Below are 18,596 nucleotides of genomic sequence, written 5' to 3' on the forward strand. Positions count from 1 at the left end.
GATCAGGGTTTAATTTTATGAAGGTAGGGCAGGGCATGGGAGGTTCACTCGTGTAACTCCAGCACTTTGGGAGGTTGAGACAGGAGGATTGCATGAGCCCAGCAGTTCAGGACCAGCCCGAACAACATAGGGAGATCCTATCTCTACAAAAAAATGTGAAAAATTAGCTGGGTATGGTAGCAGGCGCCTGTGGTCCCAGCTACTTGGGATGCTGAGGCAGGAGGATTGTTGGAGCCAGGAGGTCAAGGCTGCACTGAGCTGTGCTCGTACCACTGCACTTCTGGGCAACAGAGTGAGACCCTGTCTCAAAAAAAAAAAATTGTGCTAAGGTAAAAAGTAAGTTTTTCTTATACTTGACAATATTTTCTTCTTTTGTGTGTGTGTGTGTGTGTGTGTGTGTGTGTGTGTGAAAAAGAACCTTGTATATATCTCATTTCCCTTTGGCTGTCAGGAAGCTCCATGTAACAATTACACGGTTTTTTTTTGGACAGAGTCTTGCTCTGTTGCCCAGGCTGGAGTGCAGTGGTGCAATCTCAGCTCACTGCAACCTCCACTTCCCAGGTTCAAGCAATTCTCCTGCCTCAGCCTCCTGAGTAGCTGGGATTACAGGCGTGTGCCACCACACTCAGCCAATTTTTGTATGTTTAGTAGAGATGGGGTTTCACCATGTTGGCCAGGCTGATCTCGAACTCCTGACCTCTTGATCCACCCACCTTGGCCTCCCAAAGTGCTGAGATTACAGGTGTGAGCCACTGTGCCCAGCCAATTACACAGGTTTTTATGGCCTACTCTAAATTTTTTTTGGTCTTAATTTATACTACTTAAAAAAAATAATGACTCTATGGGTTTCAGAAGATGATACAATGAACTAATGTGGATCCCCCTCTTCCTGCCAATAATAAATTTAAAAATATATTTTTTAGGCCAGGCACGGTGGCTCACGCCTGTAATCCCAGCACTTTGGGTGGCTGAGGTAGGCGGATCACTTGAGGTCAGAAATTAAGACTAGCCTGGCTAATATGGTGAAACCCTGTCTCTACTGAAAATACAAAAATTAGCCAGGTGTGGTGGCATGCACCTGTAATCCCAGCTACTTGGGAGGCTGAGGCAGAGGTTGCAGTGAGCCGAGATTAGGCTACTTGGGAGACAAAGCAATCTAGCCTGGGAGACAAAGCAAGACCCTGTCTTAAAAAAATTATATATATTTAAAAGTTCAAATCCATGGCCAAGCCATAAAGAAGAGAATTTCCCAGGTACCAGCCATGAAGGGCAGCTTGCACCAGAGTGGTACCCATGCGAGCTGGTGCCATGATGGCTTAGGGAGATAGTGGCCTAGATATCGGCCCAGATGGCTTATTAGCCATGGTGGGATAGGAGACCCAGCCTCCAGCGTGCAAATGGTGGGGAGCTGTAACTGGCCTCTGCTAAAATCTGAGGCCTGGAATGGCGGGACCACTGTGTCCAGGGGACTGAAAAACATTGCCTTCCTACCCAAGCATAGGAGTTAATTTTGCCATGGCTCTGGGTGAGAAAAGAAAAAAAGCTTCCTTGAGACTTTGAACCCCCAAACCTGTACCACACAAGGATGTGGAATCCAAATGGACTCTTCCTGCTTGCTGTGGCCATAAGGAGCCAATAAATAAACATGAAAACGAATCATAGTGTGGTGAAATACTGGGGTCCTGAGCAGAAGCAAACCTAGAGCTGCTCTATGGGGCCGTTTCCACATGCCAGAGCTCACGGGACACATGCTTGTGCACACACATGCACACACACGCGCGCATGCACAGGCACGCATGCACCCGCACACGCGCACACGTGCATACACACACGCGCACACACACGCACACATGCACACACACACGTGCTCACGAACACACACGTGCTCGCGAACACACACGCACACACATACACACACACATGCATATACACACTCACACATGAGAAAGATGCACTGGTATGAGAAATGGACCCACCATCAGAGGGGATCAGCAGACACAGCATCAAAAGGATGAGTGCCCTTGAGAATTTGAGATAATTGAACACTGTGAAGAATGACCGTATGGAAAAAGAATAGTCAGGTTTGCTGCAACACAGGAATCTCCGATTGAAGAAGCACTGTGAATGCTGAGTAGAAGGCATAAAACTTGGTGCACCCTTGAGGTATTTGTTTTGTCAATTCAGATTTTAATAAATTGAGTGTTCAAGTGGGGCCCACAGTACACAAATGGTGCTATCTGGAAGGCTTTGAGAACACCTTCGACCAGCCTTGACAAAACAGGTCACTGCTCTCCACAGGCCTGGATGAGGACTCAGGCTGCTGAAACTCCTTCTATCTTGGAGCATTCCCCACAGTCCCTGTTCCCAAGGGCTTGGTGGTCCACTGCATGTGTTCTCCTCCTGGTCTACACAGGACGCTGGATTGAAAGGTGGTGGGTTCACATGGGAGGAAGGAGTAAAGGAGCTGAAAATGAGTACTTGGTGGAGTGACATATCCAAGCTCACATGACAGCTTCCTGCAAGGAGCTGTGGCTGACAATAGGTGGATCATCCTAATGAGGCGGGAGAGAGGCACTCCCAGTCACCACTGCCACCAACAGGCTTCACGGACTGGTCCACCGGGTTAACGAAAGCAAACACTGAAACTGAGAATCGGAAAGTCGAGGGTGTGTGCTGGAGAACTCTTCTGCCAGAAACACTTTCCTCAAGAGGAGATGACTTTTGCAAGCAGACAGAACACCACACCACACAGGCCACACAGCATGTAGTGAAGGGCTGTGCAGCAATTAGCTGGTTGACTCAATACCTGGAGACAGTATGACCTGCCACTTGTTCTCCTGTTCATCCTACAACACACGGCTGCAAAGTCTCCTCCTGTGAAACCTTTCTGCCTGTCCCCGCCTCCAACTCAGTTGTGCCTCTTCCTCAGTGTGTGATTGGTTTATATCCACATAGTATCTGTATGGACTAAAAGGCCACAGTGGCTAAATGCTCCGACAGTGACCCTGAGCATCTTTGGCCCCTGGGGCCAGCAGAGGCCTGGGCCTGGAATAGGGGCTCAGTAAAAGGTGTGGAGATGAGCAAGGCATCAATTCCACATCCCACATGTTACTCAACCAGGGCCAGATGAGCAAGGATTAAGTCAATTGCACTAACCAAACTTGATACACGCATCATCTTGATGCCATTCAGGCAAACCACAATTCAGTGGAAAAGGGTCGAACAGCCTGCCTGCCTGCCTGCCTGCCTGCCTGCCTGCCTGCCTGCCTTCCTTCCTTCCTTCCTTCCTTCCTTCCTTCCTTCCTTCCTTCCTTCCCTCCCTTCCTTTCCTTTCTTTTCTCTCTTTCTTTCTCTCTCTCTTTCTTCTCTCTCTGTTGACCAGCCTGGAGTGCAGTGGTGCCATCTGGGCTCAAGGCAACCTCTGCCTCCCATGTTCAAGCGATTTCTCCTGACTCAGCCTCCCGAGTAGCTGGGATTACAGGCACCTGCCACCACCCCTGGCTAATTTTTGTATTTTTAGTAGAGAAGGGGTTTCACCATGTTGGCCAGGCGGGTCTTGAACTCCTGATCTCAAGTGATCTGCCCGCCTTGGCCTCCCAAAGTCCTGGGATTACAGGCATGAGCCACCGTGGTCAGCCTCTTTCTTTAAAAAAAAAAATTTTTTTTTTGAGATGGCATCTCGCTTTGTTGCCCAGGCTGGAGGACAGTGGCACAATCTTGGCTCACTGCAACCTCTACCTCCTGGGTTCAAGTGATTCTCCTGCCTCGGCCTCCCAAGTAGCTGGGACTACAAGCATGCCACCACACACAGCTAATTTTTTTTTTTTTGGTATTTTTAGTAGAGACGGGGTTTCATCATGTTTACCAGGCTGGTCTCGAACTCCTGACCTCAAGTGATCCACCTGCCTTGGCCTCCCAAAGTGCTGGGATTACAGGTGTGAGCCACTGCACCCAGCCAGCCTTTTTCTTTTTTTAAGTTAAGGTCTTGCTCTCGTCACCCAGGCTGGGGTGCCGTGGTACGATCATAGCTCGCTGCAGCCTGGAACTCCTGGGCTCAAGGGATCCTCCCACCTCAGCCATGCCTGGCTGTTTTCAAATTTTTGTAGGGGAAGTCTTGCTATGTTGCCTGGGGTGGTCTTGAACTCCTGGTCTCAAGCGATTCTCCCAGCTCAGCCTCCTAAAGTGCTGGGACTATAGGAATGAGCTATCATGCCCAACCCAGACAGGTTTCTTAACATGGTGTAGAAGAGTTAATTCATGGAAAGTTCTACTCTTTATTCAATTGTTTTGGCATCATTTATACTGCTGATATTTTATCTGCCTTTTCCAGATTTAAAAATAAATTCTGGCCAGGCATAGTGGCTCACATCTGTAATCCCAGCACTTTGGGAGGCCAAGGCGGGTGGATTACCTGAGATCAGGAGTTCGAGACCAGCCTGGCCAACAGGGTGAAACCCCATCTCTACTAAAAATACAAAAATTACCCAGGCGTGGTGGCAGGTGCCAGTAATTCCAGCTACTTGGGAGGCTGAGGCACGAGAATCGCTTGAATCCAGGAGGCAGAGATTGCAATGAGCCGAGATCATGCCACTGCATGCCAGCCCGGGTGACAGAGTGTCACTCTGCCTAAAAAAAAAAAAAAAACCTTCAAGTCTTAAAAAAAATATCTTTTCTGGCCAACTCAGCAGGAAAGAGGCTCAACAGGAGAGCCAGCCATTTATTTTTAAATGTTTAAGTATGGCTATATAACTATATATATATTTTTATAGAGCATTTAAACATTTACTTTTGCCACTAAGTTATTGCTCCTTAAGGCTTTCTGTGAGCGATAGTTGAACACAATAGGGTTATAGTGTTTTAATAGAGAGAAATACAGTCTTTATGAAATAAGCTACTGTTTAGATAGACTCTTTGGCTTAGTAAAAGTGGTTCTTATCTAAAGCTCAGTTTCTGAATCGGGAAAGGCATTTGTTAGAAGCGTCATCTAGCACGCTTCAGTGCTGGAAACAGAAGCTGGGCAAGAACATAAAAAATCCATTTATAAACTCAATGAGTCTTCTTTTCATAAGTAGCAACTTGTCTCCTGAATTGGTTGAGACTCAGTTCTGACTGTAGACATAGTTCTGCTCTAGAAAGCTCTGACATGATTCCAGTCTATTAGTGCCTTGGAGGGCACAGAACTGTACCTTTAATGCAGCTCTTGGTCTAATCTTCCTGCCAGAAAGGAACCTGCAGAACTCCAGGAACCAAAATTGCTGCTGTAAAATTGGAGGTTGACTAGGAAAATGCCTTTTCCTATCAAGTCACGTGTGCTGGGGTAAGAAACGTATGAAATGTCTTTCTGTGCAGGGTGAGATGATAGGGGCTCAATTTCTGCCTCTAGAAGGTTATAGTGTGAGAAGCGCACAGGGCTGAAGGGGTCTGCAGTGTTCGTAGTCATGGAATAAGTGCTCTTTTAGAATAGAGAGATTTCGTCAGTAAATAAAGGACGTTATATATTGAGGTGCCAAAAGGCTTGATTTGAAATAACATCAGGCATAATTTATGAGTTAGCCACTGACTTGTTAGCCTATTGTATAAAGCCAGAGGTTAAACTGGGCCAAGGCCACAAACAGCCTCATAGGGCCATTTTGTTTGGATTTAGGGAAACAATGGCTTCCTATAAATGGTTCTTAAATGTAGCTGATCTTCAGAGTTGCCCAGGAAACTTTTAAAACACAAATTCTCAGGCCCGTTCCCAGATGTACTGAATGAGGAGTGGGAGGATGAGGTCCAGGAACCCTGAGTTTGGGATTCAGGTCACTGGATGGGACCTTGGAGAAAGAATTTAGGCCAGGCAGATCTGGTTTTCAATCTTGCCTGTGTGACCTTGAGCAACTGTCTTGACTGTTCTGAGCTTCAGAACCTTTAAGAAGAGTAACTTTGGAGTGAGTTGATGAGACAGCACATGTCAAGTGTCTCAGAGGATTGGCATCAAGGATGCTTTGCTCCAGCAAATGATGCCACTGACGCCACCGCCCTTTGGGATTTCTGTGGACATGATGCCCAAGTAAACCATAATCAGATTGCCACATAGCAGGTCAGGCCACTGGCTGAATCTCAGAGAGGAAGTGTTTGACATCCTGGTTCTTTCTGATAACCTCCAATTGAACCTAATTAAATGTGTGTCCACCCACTCAAAAGCCAACAGCAGGCCAGGCATGGTGGCTCAGGCCTGTAATCCCAGCACTTGGGGGGGCCGAGGCAGGCAGATCACTTCAGGTCAGCAGTTCAAGACCAGCCTGGCCAGCAAGGTGAAACCCTGTCTCTACTAAAAATATAAAAACTAGCTGGGTGAAGTGGTGGGCGCCTGTAATCCCAGCTACTCAGGAGGCTGAGGCAGGAGAATTGCTTGAACCCAGGAGGCAGAGGTTGCAGTAAGCCGAGATCGTGTCACTGCACTCCAGCCTGGGTGACAGAGCAAGACTTTGTCTCAAAAAAAAAAAAAAAAAAAAAAAAAAAAAGGCCAAGAGCAGGTGGATGGAACCAGTTGAGCAGCCTGGTGTAGGCCTTGGGGCTTCCAATTCACTTGAGGGACATCTCTTGCCCTGGGTCCCCTAAACATGCGATAATCATGCTTTGTGCTTGTAAGCCTCAATATCTCCAAGGCTCACTGGCTTCTCACTATAATTGGGTGAGGGGATTGCCTGTAGGCGATGTCCCCCAGACAGCTCCTGGCTGGCCTGGATCTTCTTCAGCGATCAGAAACTAAGGGAAATCAGGGGCATTTGGAGGCACAGGTTAAAATGGCTGAGCTTCCTGGATTGACAATTGTACTGGACGCTTGGAAGGAACAGCATTATTCCCTCCATAATAGCTTTTATTTATTTAGTGTTTGCTTTGTGCCAGGCATTTTTTTTTTTTTTTTTTGAGACAGTCACCTTGCTCTGTCACCTAGGCTGGAGTGCAGTGGTGCAATCTCAGCTCACTGCAACCTTCACCTCCCGGGCTCAGGTGATCCTCCCACCTCAGCCTCCTGAGTAGCTGGGACCAAGGCATGTGCCACCAGGCCCAGCTGATTTCTGTATGTTTTTGTAGAGACGGGGTTTCACTATGTGACCCAGGCTGATCTCAAACTCCTGGGCTCAAGCAATCCTCCCATCTCAGCCTCCCAAGTAGCTGGGACTACAGGCGTGTGCCACCAGGCCCAGTTAATTTTTGTATTTTTAGTAGAGATGGGGTTTCACCATGTTGGCCAGGATGGTCTCGATCTCTTGACCTCATGATCTGCCCACCTCAGCCTCCCAAAGTGCTGGGATTACAGGTGTGAGCCACAGCGCCCAGCCCCATTTTTAATTTAACTTTTTATTTATTTATTTTTAATTTTCTTTTGAGACAGAGTCTCACTCTGTCACCCAGGCTGGAGTGCAGTCGTGCTGTCTCGGCTCCCTGCCACCTCTGCCTCCCGGGTTCAAGGGATTCTCCTGCCTCAGCCTCCCAAGTAGCTGGGATTACAGGTGCGCGCCACCATGCCCAGCTATTTTCTTGTATTTTTAGTAGAGATAGGGTTTCACCATTTTGGCTAGGCTGGTGTCGAACTCCTAAACTCAAGTGATCCACCTGCCTTGGCCTTCCAAAGTGCTAGGATTACAAGCATGAGCCACTGCACCCAGCCTAGTTTAAGTTTTTAAATGGAATTTTAAAAATATACACACAGGGAAATTCAGTGAAAGGAATGATACATACACTTCAGAGGGATGAGGGAGCCATCAGTCACTGGCCAAAGGCTGTTGCTGGAGAGTTCTAACTTCCTGGCATCTCCAGTCTGCCTTGCCTAGGAAGAATGGCTTTCCCTGTCTTCCTTGTACAGATCCTGGTGGTTAGGCGTGTGCCAATGCCATGGACAAGGTCAGTCCTGTGGCATGTGGGTCAGGCACCAGCAGCATCTGCTATAGAGGCTGAGGGTGAGGGAAGTGTCTCAAAACAGACACAGGTAGGTGATTGTAGGTTTCTGGGTTTTGCACTGGAAGGTTGGGGAATCCTTCCTTGAGACAGAGAGCACCGGAGGGGTAATCGGGAGGGGCAGGTGGGGGAAGCGCCTGAGTTTGGTTTGAACGTGTTGAGTTGGGCTCATCCACATGGAGATGTCAAGATGGCAGATGGAGTTTTGGGTCTCAGGCTCAGGGAAAAGGTCAGCAGTTTGAGATCAGCCTGGCCAACATAGCAAAACCCTGTCTCTACTAAAAATACAAAAATTAGCCGGGCGTGATGTCGTGCACCTGTAGTCCCAGCTACCTGGGAGGCTGAGGCAGGAGAATCACTTGAACCAGGGAGTCAAAGGTTGCAGTGAGCCAAGATCATGCCACCATACTCCAGCCTGGGCAATAGAGTGAGACTACATAAAAAAAAAAAAAAAAGAAAAAGAAAAAGAAAAAGAAAAAAAGAAACCCTCTGACTCCTCACCTTTAGGGTGGCTTAGATCTCAAAGACTGTCCACAGAGTTTCCTTATCTTCCTTATATTGGCTCACAGAGGACCACTGACTACATTTGCTCAACACAAGATCCCTCAAACTATTTAATATTTGGTCAGCATAAAATCTTTAGAATTCCTTTGCCAATGCTATATTGGCAAAGTTTTTATCTGACCAAGACATTCTAAAGCATGAGTATATAATGGCTCATTAACATTCTGCTAACACTGATCAGTACCTACTTACATCTAAGACATCTTGTGAATCCAGTGAATAAAAGCACGCCCATCATAACAGCAGCGAGGCACATCTGGAAGATGAGGAATCCGTAATGCATTATCTTGTATCATTGAAAGTCCAAGGATCTTGATCCATGGACAATCATAAATCCAGAGGCTGGGCCTGGCACGGTGGCTCACGCCTGTAATCTCAGCACTTTGGGAGGCCGAGGCAGGCAGATCACCTGAGGTCGGGAGTTTGAGACCAGCCTGACCAACATGGAGAAACCCTGTCTCTACTAAAAATACAAAAATTAGCCAGGCGTGGTGGCGCATGCCTGTAATCCCAGCTACTCAGGAGGCCGAGGCAGGAGAATGGCTTGAACCTGGGAGGCAGAGGTTGCAGTGGGCCGAGATCACGCCATTGCACTCCAGCCTGGGCAACAAGGGCGAAACTCTGTCTCAAAAACAAACAAACAAACAAACAAACAAACAAACAAAGCAGAAAGAGGCTACCAGCAGCCTGACAGGTGAGGTGGACACTTCACCCCTTCAGGCCTCTGGGTTTGAACCATCAGGTAGAAGGGAGGCTGGAGCCATCCATTCCCCAGGCTTCTCCTATAAATGAACTCTGGTTCAGCGCTGCCCCCAGTCCTGTCCTGGCCTTGGTAGGAGCAGAGAACAGATGGTCTAAAACCCATCACGGTCAGGCTGACCTCCCACCGCCTCCCTCCACACACATGGCCCCCAGCTGGGGTAGAGGCAGAAGGAGTGGGAGAGAGAGGTTCTAAAATATGTGTACAAACATTGAAATTGTTTTTCCATCCTTATCTCCAGTTTCTGTTTCATGGGTCTTTCTGTGGAAATAAAACTCTAAGTTTACTGGTGGTTATTAAAACAATGAATTTCCTCCTCCAATGGAGACAAGTGCAATGGCTGGACTTTTAGTGTCTAATTACCAGGAGCAGTTAAAGTAGCTTAGTAAGTGGGTGTCCAGATGACTTAGGTGTTCTTGCATATTTCAATATCTATTTAAAGAAAGGGTGCCCAGCCTCCATTAACATCCAGAGATTCTCCTAGAAGCCACCCTATTTCCCATCATTAAGGTCAATCTGAGTTTCCAAACAAAGAGCAGGATAAATGAATTGGACCTGCCAGGCCCAGGAAGCCCTGGGCTCCTCAGCCTAGCAACAGCTCCCAGTGTTGTTCTTTTTCAGTAAAATGAAGGTCAAAGGAATCATGTGGCCTCTGGCTTTGAGAGAAAGAAATCTTCCCAGGGGACTCCTAAGACAGTGAAGGGAACTGTGAGCCCACCACAGGGGAAGCAGGACAGACTCAGGCTGTGAGTCCATCTTGCACTTTCTTTTTCTTCTTTTCTTTTCTTTCTTTTTTTTTTTTTTAGACAAAGTCTTGCTCTGTCCCCCAGGCTGGAGTGCAGTGGCATGATCTCAGCTCACTGCAGCCTTGACTTCCTGGGTTCAAGCGATCCTCCTCCCTTAGCCTCTTGAGTAGCTGGGACTATAGGTACTCACCACCAGGCCCCGGTAAGTTTTTTGTACTTTTTGTAGAGATGGGGTTTTGCCATGTTGTCCAGGCTGGTCTCGAACTCCTGAGCTTAAGCTATCTGCCCGCCTCAGCCTCCCAAAGTGCTGGGATTTCGGGCATGAGCTAACATGCCTGGCCTCTTGCACTTCATGGTTGTACTTCAGATCTTATTGGGCAGAATCTTTCCACTTTCTTTTCTTTCTCTCTCTCTCGTTCTTTTTCTTCTCCTTCTCCTTCTTCTTCTTTTCTTTTTTGAAACAGTCTCTTGCTTTGCTGCCCAGGCTGCAGTACAGTGGTGTGATCATGGCTCCCTGTGGCCTCCAATGCCTAGGCTCAAGCAGTCCTCCTCTCTCTGCCTCCCGAGTAGCTGGGACTACAGCCACATGCCACCAGGCCCGACTTTTTAAAAGTTTTGTAGAGATGGGGTCTTGCTATGTTGCCCAGGCTGGTCTTGAATTCCTGGCCTCAAGGAATCCTCCCACCTCAGCCTCCCAAAATGTTGAGATTACAGACATGAACCATGGCACACAGTCTTTCTACTTTCTTTTGTGCTTAAAAAGAATGCACACATATCAATTATCTCCTAAGCTTTGGTGTGGGCAGGTTGAAGTAATCTGAAAAAAAAAATGGATTGTGTATCGATATTACTCTAAAGCATTTATATGGAAAGTGGAAAAAATGCAGATGAACATGTTCCCTTTGTCATTGTGGAAAATAACACACCTGGCTTGCTAAAAGCTTTTTTCTTTTTTCTTTTTCTTTTATTACAGGCATGAGCCACTGCACCCAGCCTTTTAAAAAACTTTTTGGCCAGGTTGTTTTATAGGCTCATGCCTATAATCCCTGTTCTTTAGGAGGCTGATGCAGGTAGATCCTTTGAGCCCAGGAGTTTGAGACCAGCCTGTGCAACATAGTGAAACCCCGTCTCTACAAAAATATACAAAAATTAGTCAAGCATGGTGGCATGCACCTGTGATCCCAGCTACTGAGGAGGCTGAAGTGGGAGGAGTTCTTGAACCCGGGAGGTCGAAGCTGCAGCATGCTGAGATCACGCCACTGCACTCCAGCCTGGGCAACAGAGCAAGACTCTATCTTGAAAACAAAAACAAAAACAACTTTCAAATCCAGCTCTTTTGGCATGGCAAGGCACAGACTGAGAGATTATTATTTATTATAATTTCATGGCTGTTTTGCTCAGGGGTGATTTTCAATTTGAACATCAAATTTGGCATGAACACCAACCAAAAGCAGCCAATACTATCTATGGTGTTTGGGTGCGCTGGCTGATGGCAGCCCCAGGACTTTCAGCGGGAATTTCCTTTTGTGCTAATGCCTTGCTGTCAACAGCAGGTGAAACGATGCTGGTGAAGAAGCCAAGTGTCAGGTGTGCCTGGCATGTCCTGAGAATCTGATTCCTGGGGGTGGTGCCTCCCTGGCTGCGAGGGCCCAGGGCAGGCCTGCTGCTGTTCTCTCCCTCCTGGTGCAGGAGAACGCAGATGCCGAGAAGTTGGAATCTGAAGATGGATCATCCATAATATAAAAAATGACACTCCAAATCGGTTTCAAATAAAAGGATATTTCATGATGGTGCTGGCACTGATTGTTTCACGTGGCTTCATGCTTCAAATGTTTTTCGGTCAAATTAAGAGGCCTAGTAGCCATCAAACTCTTGTCCAGTGCAATGACCAGAAATCATTATAAATGAGTTCGAATATTGCTAGGGACATAGATGCACAGCAGTGGTCACAGGGAAGTGAGACCAAGAGATTGTTTCACCGAGGAAATGCCATTATCACATCACTCTCAGAGCCCGCGTCTTTGCTCAAGGAAGGGAAAGAAATCCCCCCAGGATGTCTTATAATTGTTACAGGTGCCACCAAATGTGGGAAATAACTAGAATGCAGGAATTCCAGGAGAAAAATTAGTGGAGATACCTATTGCAGTAAGCGCTGTTTAAGCAATAATAATAAAGGTAAGGGCTCACATTTATGCAGCATTTACTATGAGCCAGCCATTGTTTCAGATACATCTATTAACCACCTTATAAGGTACGCTCAGTTATTATTCCCACTTTAGTGATGAGGAAACCGAAGCATGGAGAGGTGCAGCACAAGCAGGCTCCACCTGGGTCACAGCTTTTTCTCTCGAATCAATTCATTTCACACCAAGTATTGATGCCCTCTAGGTGTCATGGGGGAAAGTGTCCCAATTTCTGTGCTTAAGGGTGGGGTTGGGTGATTAATTTGGAGGAAATCTTCCACATGCCCGGTGTGTCCTGCAGATACAATTGTTGGAGAGGCTGGAGAAACCAATATTTTAGCAGAAGCTTGAGGAACAGGCAGTTTTCCTTGTTTTCACCATCCCTAGATGACGTGGCTGTGAGTTCCATGTAAAAACGTGCAGTTTGCATTACTGTTCTCTTCTCCCTGGCCTAAATTGGATTTAGACTCAGCCCTCCTGCCCTGTCCCGGTCTCTCTGAGGACTTCTACCTATTCCCTCATTCCCCTAGCCCCATTTTGCTCAGATGGGTTTTTTATGGCCATGACTCCACCCAGCTAGAGTTGTCAGATTTAGCAAATAAAAATAGAGGTCCGCCAGCGGTGGCTCATCCCTGTAATCCCAGCACTGTGGGAGGCCGAGGTGGGAGGATCACCCGAGCCCAGGAGTTTGAAGCCAGCCTGGGCAACATAACAAGACCTTGTTTCTACAAGAAATAAAAATATTAGCCAGTTTCGTGGTGGTGCATGCCTGTAGTCCCAGCTACTCAGGAGGCTGAGGAGGGAGGATCGTTTGAGCTCAGGAATTTGAGTCTGCAGTGAGCCAAGATAGTGCCACTGCACCACAGCCTGGTGACAGAGTGAGACCCTGTATGAAAAAAAAAAAGGAGGCTGTCAGTTAAAGTTAAATTCAAATTTCAGATAAACAATGGAAAAATTTTAGTGTAAGTATGTACCATGCAGTATTTGAGACATACTTCATTACTATTTAGAAATATATACATATGTAAAATTAAATTTCTATAGAGATGAGGTCTCACCATGTTGCCCAGGCTGGTCCTGAGACTCCTGGGCTCAAGCAATCCTCCCGCCTTGGCCTCCAAAGTGCTGGGACCACAGGCGTGCACCACCGCGCCCGGCCGGGACATACTTACACTAAAAAAAGTACTTGCTGTCTATCTGAAATTCAGATTTGGGTGGGTCGCCCTGTATTTCTCGAGGCAACCCCTCAGCAGCCCTCAGGGGGGACTCCCTCCGCACTCCAGGCCCTCGGGTGGCGCCTTCGCTGGTTTATCTGCGGTTCACTTGCACCTTCTTCAGAAGTGGCCGACAGCCCACAGCGAAGGCGGCCCCGTGCCAGACTCTTCTCTGGGGATGAGGCTCCGGGGAGGAGACTCCGGGGATGCGCCTCTGGCGGGATCTCCCCTGGAAGAATCTGAGTCCAGTGGGGAGAGGAACACGTCCCGCAGCTGCCCCGTTCCACGGTGGGAGGCGTCACGCGGCCGGGAACACAGGGAGGCGGGGGGCTCCGGAGGCGGCGGCTGGGAGGACCCCGCGGGAGGGCGCCGGGGAGGCCGCGAGGACCGCGCCGGGGGGCTGCGCCCAGGCAAGCTGTGTCCCTCCGAGGCGAAGATAGGAAGCTGCCCCGCGGCGCGCGGTCCCCAGGCAGGGTGCTCGCGGGCGGAGTCAACACAGCCTGGCTTCTGCACCGGCTCAGGCCGCCAGAGGGCGCGCGGGTTCGGGAAATGGCTTCCCCCCCCGCAGGAGGAGGGCCGAGCTCCCCGCGGGGCGGGAGGAGGAGGGAAAACCGAGGACAAGCCCCCGCCTTGGCGTCGAGGGTCTCCACCAAAGCCCCACGCGAGAACGGGCCGCGTGTTTCTGGTGAGAGGGGTCTCGATAGTGCCATCCACCGCGAGGCCCGACTCCCAGCGGCGTCCAGGAAGCAAGGGAGGGAGGGCGGGAGCGGGGACGCGGCCGTTCCCACCCGGCTCCTCTCACGAGACCCGTGACAAATCGCTGGTCGGAGAGAGAGTGCACGGCCCCAAGGAAGGGAGGCACTCAGAGCCCTGTCCTTCCAGACATTCAGACTATTAACTGATGGTTGGTCTAGAGGGGACAGGACGGCAGAGAGACAGAGAAAGCTGGCGAAGGACGCGCAGGATTTCAGATGTAATGCGTGACTCAGAGAGATTGCATAACTTCTTCCAGGCCTCAGTTTCGACGTCTGTCAAATGGGAGTACATTTTCCCTCAGCGGGAGGATCGTTTTGAGTCCAGGAGTTTGAGGCTGCTGTGAGCCCAGATCGTGCTACTGCACGACAGCTTGAGGACAGAGTGAGACTGTCCCCCCCGCCAAAAAAGAGGATGTCAAAGTGAAATTCAAATTTCAAATAGACAATAAATTTTTTTATTTATTTTATTTTATTTTTGAAACGGAGTCTTGCTCTGCCCCCCAGGCTGGAGTGCAGTGGCGCAGTCTTGGCTCACTGCAAACTCCACCTCCCGGGTTCAAGTCCTGCCTCAGCCTCCCGAGTAGCTGGGATTACAGGCGTGCACCACCACATCCAGTTAATTTTTGTATTTTTAGTAGAGACAGGGTTTCGCCATGTTGGCCAGGCGGGTCTTGAACTCCTGACATCAAGTGATCCATCTGCCTCAGCCTCCCAAAGTGCAGGGATTACAGGCGTGAGCCACTGTGCCCGGCCAAAAAAACTTTTGGTGTAAGTATGTACCATGAAGTATTTGGGACATACTTCATTACTATTTAAAAATATATACATACATAAAATTACATTTATATAGGGACGAGGTCTCACTATGTTGCCCAGGCTGGTCCTGAACTCCTGGGCTAAAGCCATCCTCCCGCTTCAGCCTCCAAAGTGCTGGAACTACAGGCGAGTGTACCTCAGTGGTCCAATGAGAAAATCCACTCATCATGTGACTGTGTTTGTAAACCGTGAGGTGTGCAAAATGAGGAGCTGTTGCCCTCTCTTTCCTCCCCTTTCACCACTCTCTTTCCTCCCCTTAAAAAACAGGGGAGGTGGCTCACTCCTGTAATCCCAGCACTTCGGGAGGCCAAGATGGAGGGATTACTTGAGCTCAGGAGTTTGAGAACAGCCTGGGCAACATAGTGAGCACCCCCCTTCTCCACTAAAAATCAAAACAATTACCTGGGTGTGGTGGTGCCTGCTCATGGTCCCAACTACTCTTGAGGCTGAGGAGGGAGGATCGCATGACGCAGATCCAGAAGGCAGAGGTTGCACTAAGCCGAGATGGCTCCACTGCACTCCAGCCTGGGCAACAGAGTGAGACCCTGTCTCAAACAAAACAAAACAAAACAAAACAAAAAACCAGGGGAGAGAATATGTGTTGAATAAAAGAAAGGAAGGAAGGAAGAAGGGTGGGAGGAGAAAAGACAAGAGGAACACAGTCAGGGTGGGCTCTGCCTTTCCTCCTTCTCCTCTTCCCTTGTTAAACGTTCCAGAGACACCGGGCCTTTGATTTCCTTATTTTTCAGATGAGAAGATTCATTCATTATTCGGCAAGTATTACCGAGTCCCCAGTGTCTGCCCTCCCAAGAGGATAGAATCTAGCAGGGCCATAGTCCTGTCCACATAACATTCCCTCATGTGTCTACACTGCTTCAGATTTTGCAAAGCATTTTTACAGCCACTTTCTAATTTGTCCTCCAGGAAACCTTGGCCAGGTGCAGAGACAGGATTAATTGAATTTTCCTCCATTTTACAGACAGGAAGCAAGGTTCAGAGACACCAAGCGCTGCCCAAGGTGGCTTAGTAGCATGGGGGTCAATATGGCTTCTTTCCCAACAAATGCTTCACATGTAGTGAGTTGAAAAACATAGCAGGAGGAAGTGACCTTGTTTGTTGAATAAAAGAGCAAACGGTTAAAACTGGAAACAAGCTCCGTGTTCTTCAGCAGGGTGAAAAGGCGGCGGCCCATGGAAGGCTATGCAGCTATGCTTGTGGCTGGCTCATTTTGGAGGTAACAGTCACAGTTTCCATCATTTAGGGCCCTCTCTGAGCTGGATGCTCTGCCAAGCCTCCCATACAGATTATTACTTCACCTTCACAATAGCACCCAAGGTAGGTACTCAGGCAGGAGGGTGACCTCCTCAAGATCACATGGCTGTGGAGCGTGGAGGTGGGCTCTGAGCCCAGGTCTCTCTGCCTCCAGAGCCTGCCCAGCATTGCAGGTGTTTGCAAATGTTTGTGGAAAGGCCAAAACGTCTTAGGCTGACTTGGTTCTCCTCTCAGAGCAAACCTTCATATTGATGAGGCCGCTCTCTACGCACTGGCTTGGAAAAGGCCCATGAAGGCTTGTTGAGTGAGTGAGAAAAAGAAGTATCTGTGTGTGATTAAAAAAAACACAATTTCATATGGGCTCATATTTTTGTCTATGTCCAAGAATAACTCTAAGAGGATGCTAACCTATTTTCAGTGGTCACTTTTCTGTGGAGAGTGGAACTGAAGTCGGGGTGGGTTCAGGGAGAATTTCTGATGTAATTCTATGAACTTGGTTATTGTCTGAATTTCTTGTAACAAGTATGGTGCTTTAAACATCTTGGAGGCTGGGCACAGTGGCTCATGCCTGTAATCCCAGCACTTTGGGAGGCTGAGGCAGAAGGATCACTTGAGTCCAGAAGTTTGAGACCGGCCTGGGCAACACAGTTAGACCCCCGTCTCTACAATAAATTTAAAAAAATATTAGCCCGGCATGGTGGTGTGCACCTATAGTCCTAGCTGTTCAAGAGGCTGAGGTGGGAGGTTGGCTTAAGCCCAATAGTTCAAGGCTGCAGTGAGCTATGATTGCACCACTGCACTCCAGCCTGGGTGACAGAGCAAGACCCTGTCTCTAAAAATAAAGTAAAGTAAAATAAAATAAAACAATGAAAACCTTGGAAGCGCATTATTTGTAATAGTGAAAATTTATAAACCACCTAAATGTTTCCCACCAAACCCATGAATCCTTCCCAGCCCCTCCAGCCTCAGGCTGCCCTCTCAGCTCAACCTGGGGTGGGATTGAGGATTAAGGCACATCCAAGAATGGGAGTTGGGGTAGGTTTGAGTCCAAGGAAAGGGGGCTGGGCATGTGGGCTCACACCTGTAATCCCAGCACTTTGAGAGGCTGAGGCGGGCAGATCACTTGAGGACAGGAGTTCGAGACCAGCTTGGCCAACATGATGAAACCCCATCTCTACTAAAAATACAAAAATTAAGGCTGGGTGCGGTGGCACACACCTGTAATCCCAGCACTTTGGGAGGCCGAGGTGAGTGGATCACTTGAGGTCAGGAGTTTGAGACTAGCCTGGCCAACATAGTGAAACCCCATCTCTATCAAAAAATACAAAAATTAGCTGGTGTGGTACATACCTGTAGTCCTAGCTACTCGGGAGGCTGAGGCATAAGAATTGCTTGAACTCGGGAGGGCGAGGTTGCAGTGAGCTGAGACTGTGCCACTGCACTCTAGCTTGGGCGACAGAGCAAGACTCTGTCTCAAAAAAAAAAAAAAAAAGAAAAGTGGCTGTGCGGCTGTGGCAGGACCGCTCCCTCCCTCAGTGGTTGCTGGACTGAAGATGGAGGTCTGTGTGAGTGTGTGGTCACACTCATACAGACATGTATCCCTCCACCCCGCCCACACACTCCCGTCAGTCTTCTGCTCCACAATCCATGGAGACCCTGCCATGTGCACGGAGGTCTCACCTCCTCCTGGAAGCCTGCTCAAGGCTGAGGGGAGCAGATGTGGTCCTGCCTCCGTCGCTATCCCGAGGACCCTCACAGCTAAACCTTCTCCCTGACCCTGCTGGCAGGGATGAGCTGGGAGAGGGGACACAGGCTGGTTTGGTGTCCTGGAAGATCAAGGCTCCATGCAGCTAGCAGTGGTCCCAAGTTCTCTCTCATTTTCTTTCTCAAGGGGAAGAAAGTCTTCCCCGGCCCTGTGGCCTCCACAGGCCTCCTCTTCTCCGGAGTAGCTCAGGAAGCGTGAGCTCTGTCTACATGGGATCCCAGTTTTGTGGTGAGTATGTTGATATGTGTGGATATGTGACATATGTGGCTATGTCTATAGAGAAACCTTTGGGCTGGGCGCAGTGGCTCACGCCTGTAATCCCAGCACTTTGGCAGGCTGACGTGGGCGGATCACGAGGTCAGGAGATCGAGACCATCCTGACCAACACGATGAAACCCTGTCTCTACTAAAAATACAAAAAATTAGCCGGGCATGGTGGTGGGTGCCTGTAGTCCCAGCTACTCAGGAAGCTGAGGCAGGAGAATGGCGTGAACCTAGGAGGTGGAGCTTGCAGCGAGCCGAGATCGCGCCACAGCATTCCAGCCCTGGCAACAGCGAGACTCTGTCTCAAAAAAAAAAA

General features: G+C 48.7%; 2 annotated features.

The window, feature by feature from the left end:
• Positions 13,651-13,840: a silencer, noted in NCBI's record as "silent region_7444". NCBI's record gives its function as "represses an Ori minimal core promoter by ATAC-STARR-seq in GM12878 lymphoblastoid cells {active_cell/tissue: GM12878}" and the evidence as "EXISTENCE:reporter gene assay evidence [ECO:0000049][PMID:35858748]".
• Positions 13,851-14,080: a silencer, noted in NCBI's record as "silent region_7445". NCBI's record gives its function as "represses an Ori minimal core promoter by ATAC-STARR-seq in GM12878 lymphoblastoid cells {active_cell/tissue: GM12878}" and the evidence as "EXISTENCE:reporter gene assay evidence [ECO:0000049][PMID:35858748]".

This window comes from Homo sapiens, chromosome 16 (genome assembly GCF_000001405.40).
Source record: "Homo sapiens chromosome 16, GRCh38.p14 Primary Assembly".
NCBI classification, from domain to species: Eukaryota; Metazoa; Chordata; class Mammalia; order Primates; family Hominidae; genus Homo; species Homo sapiens.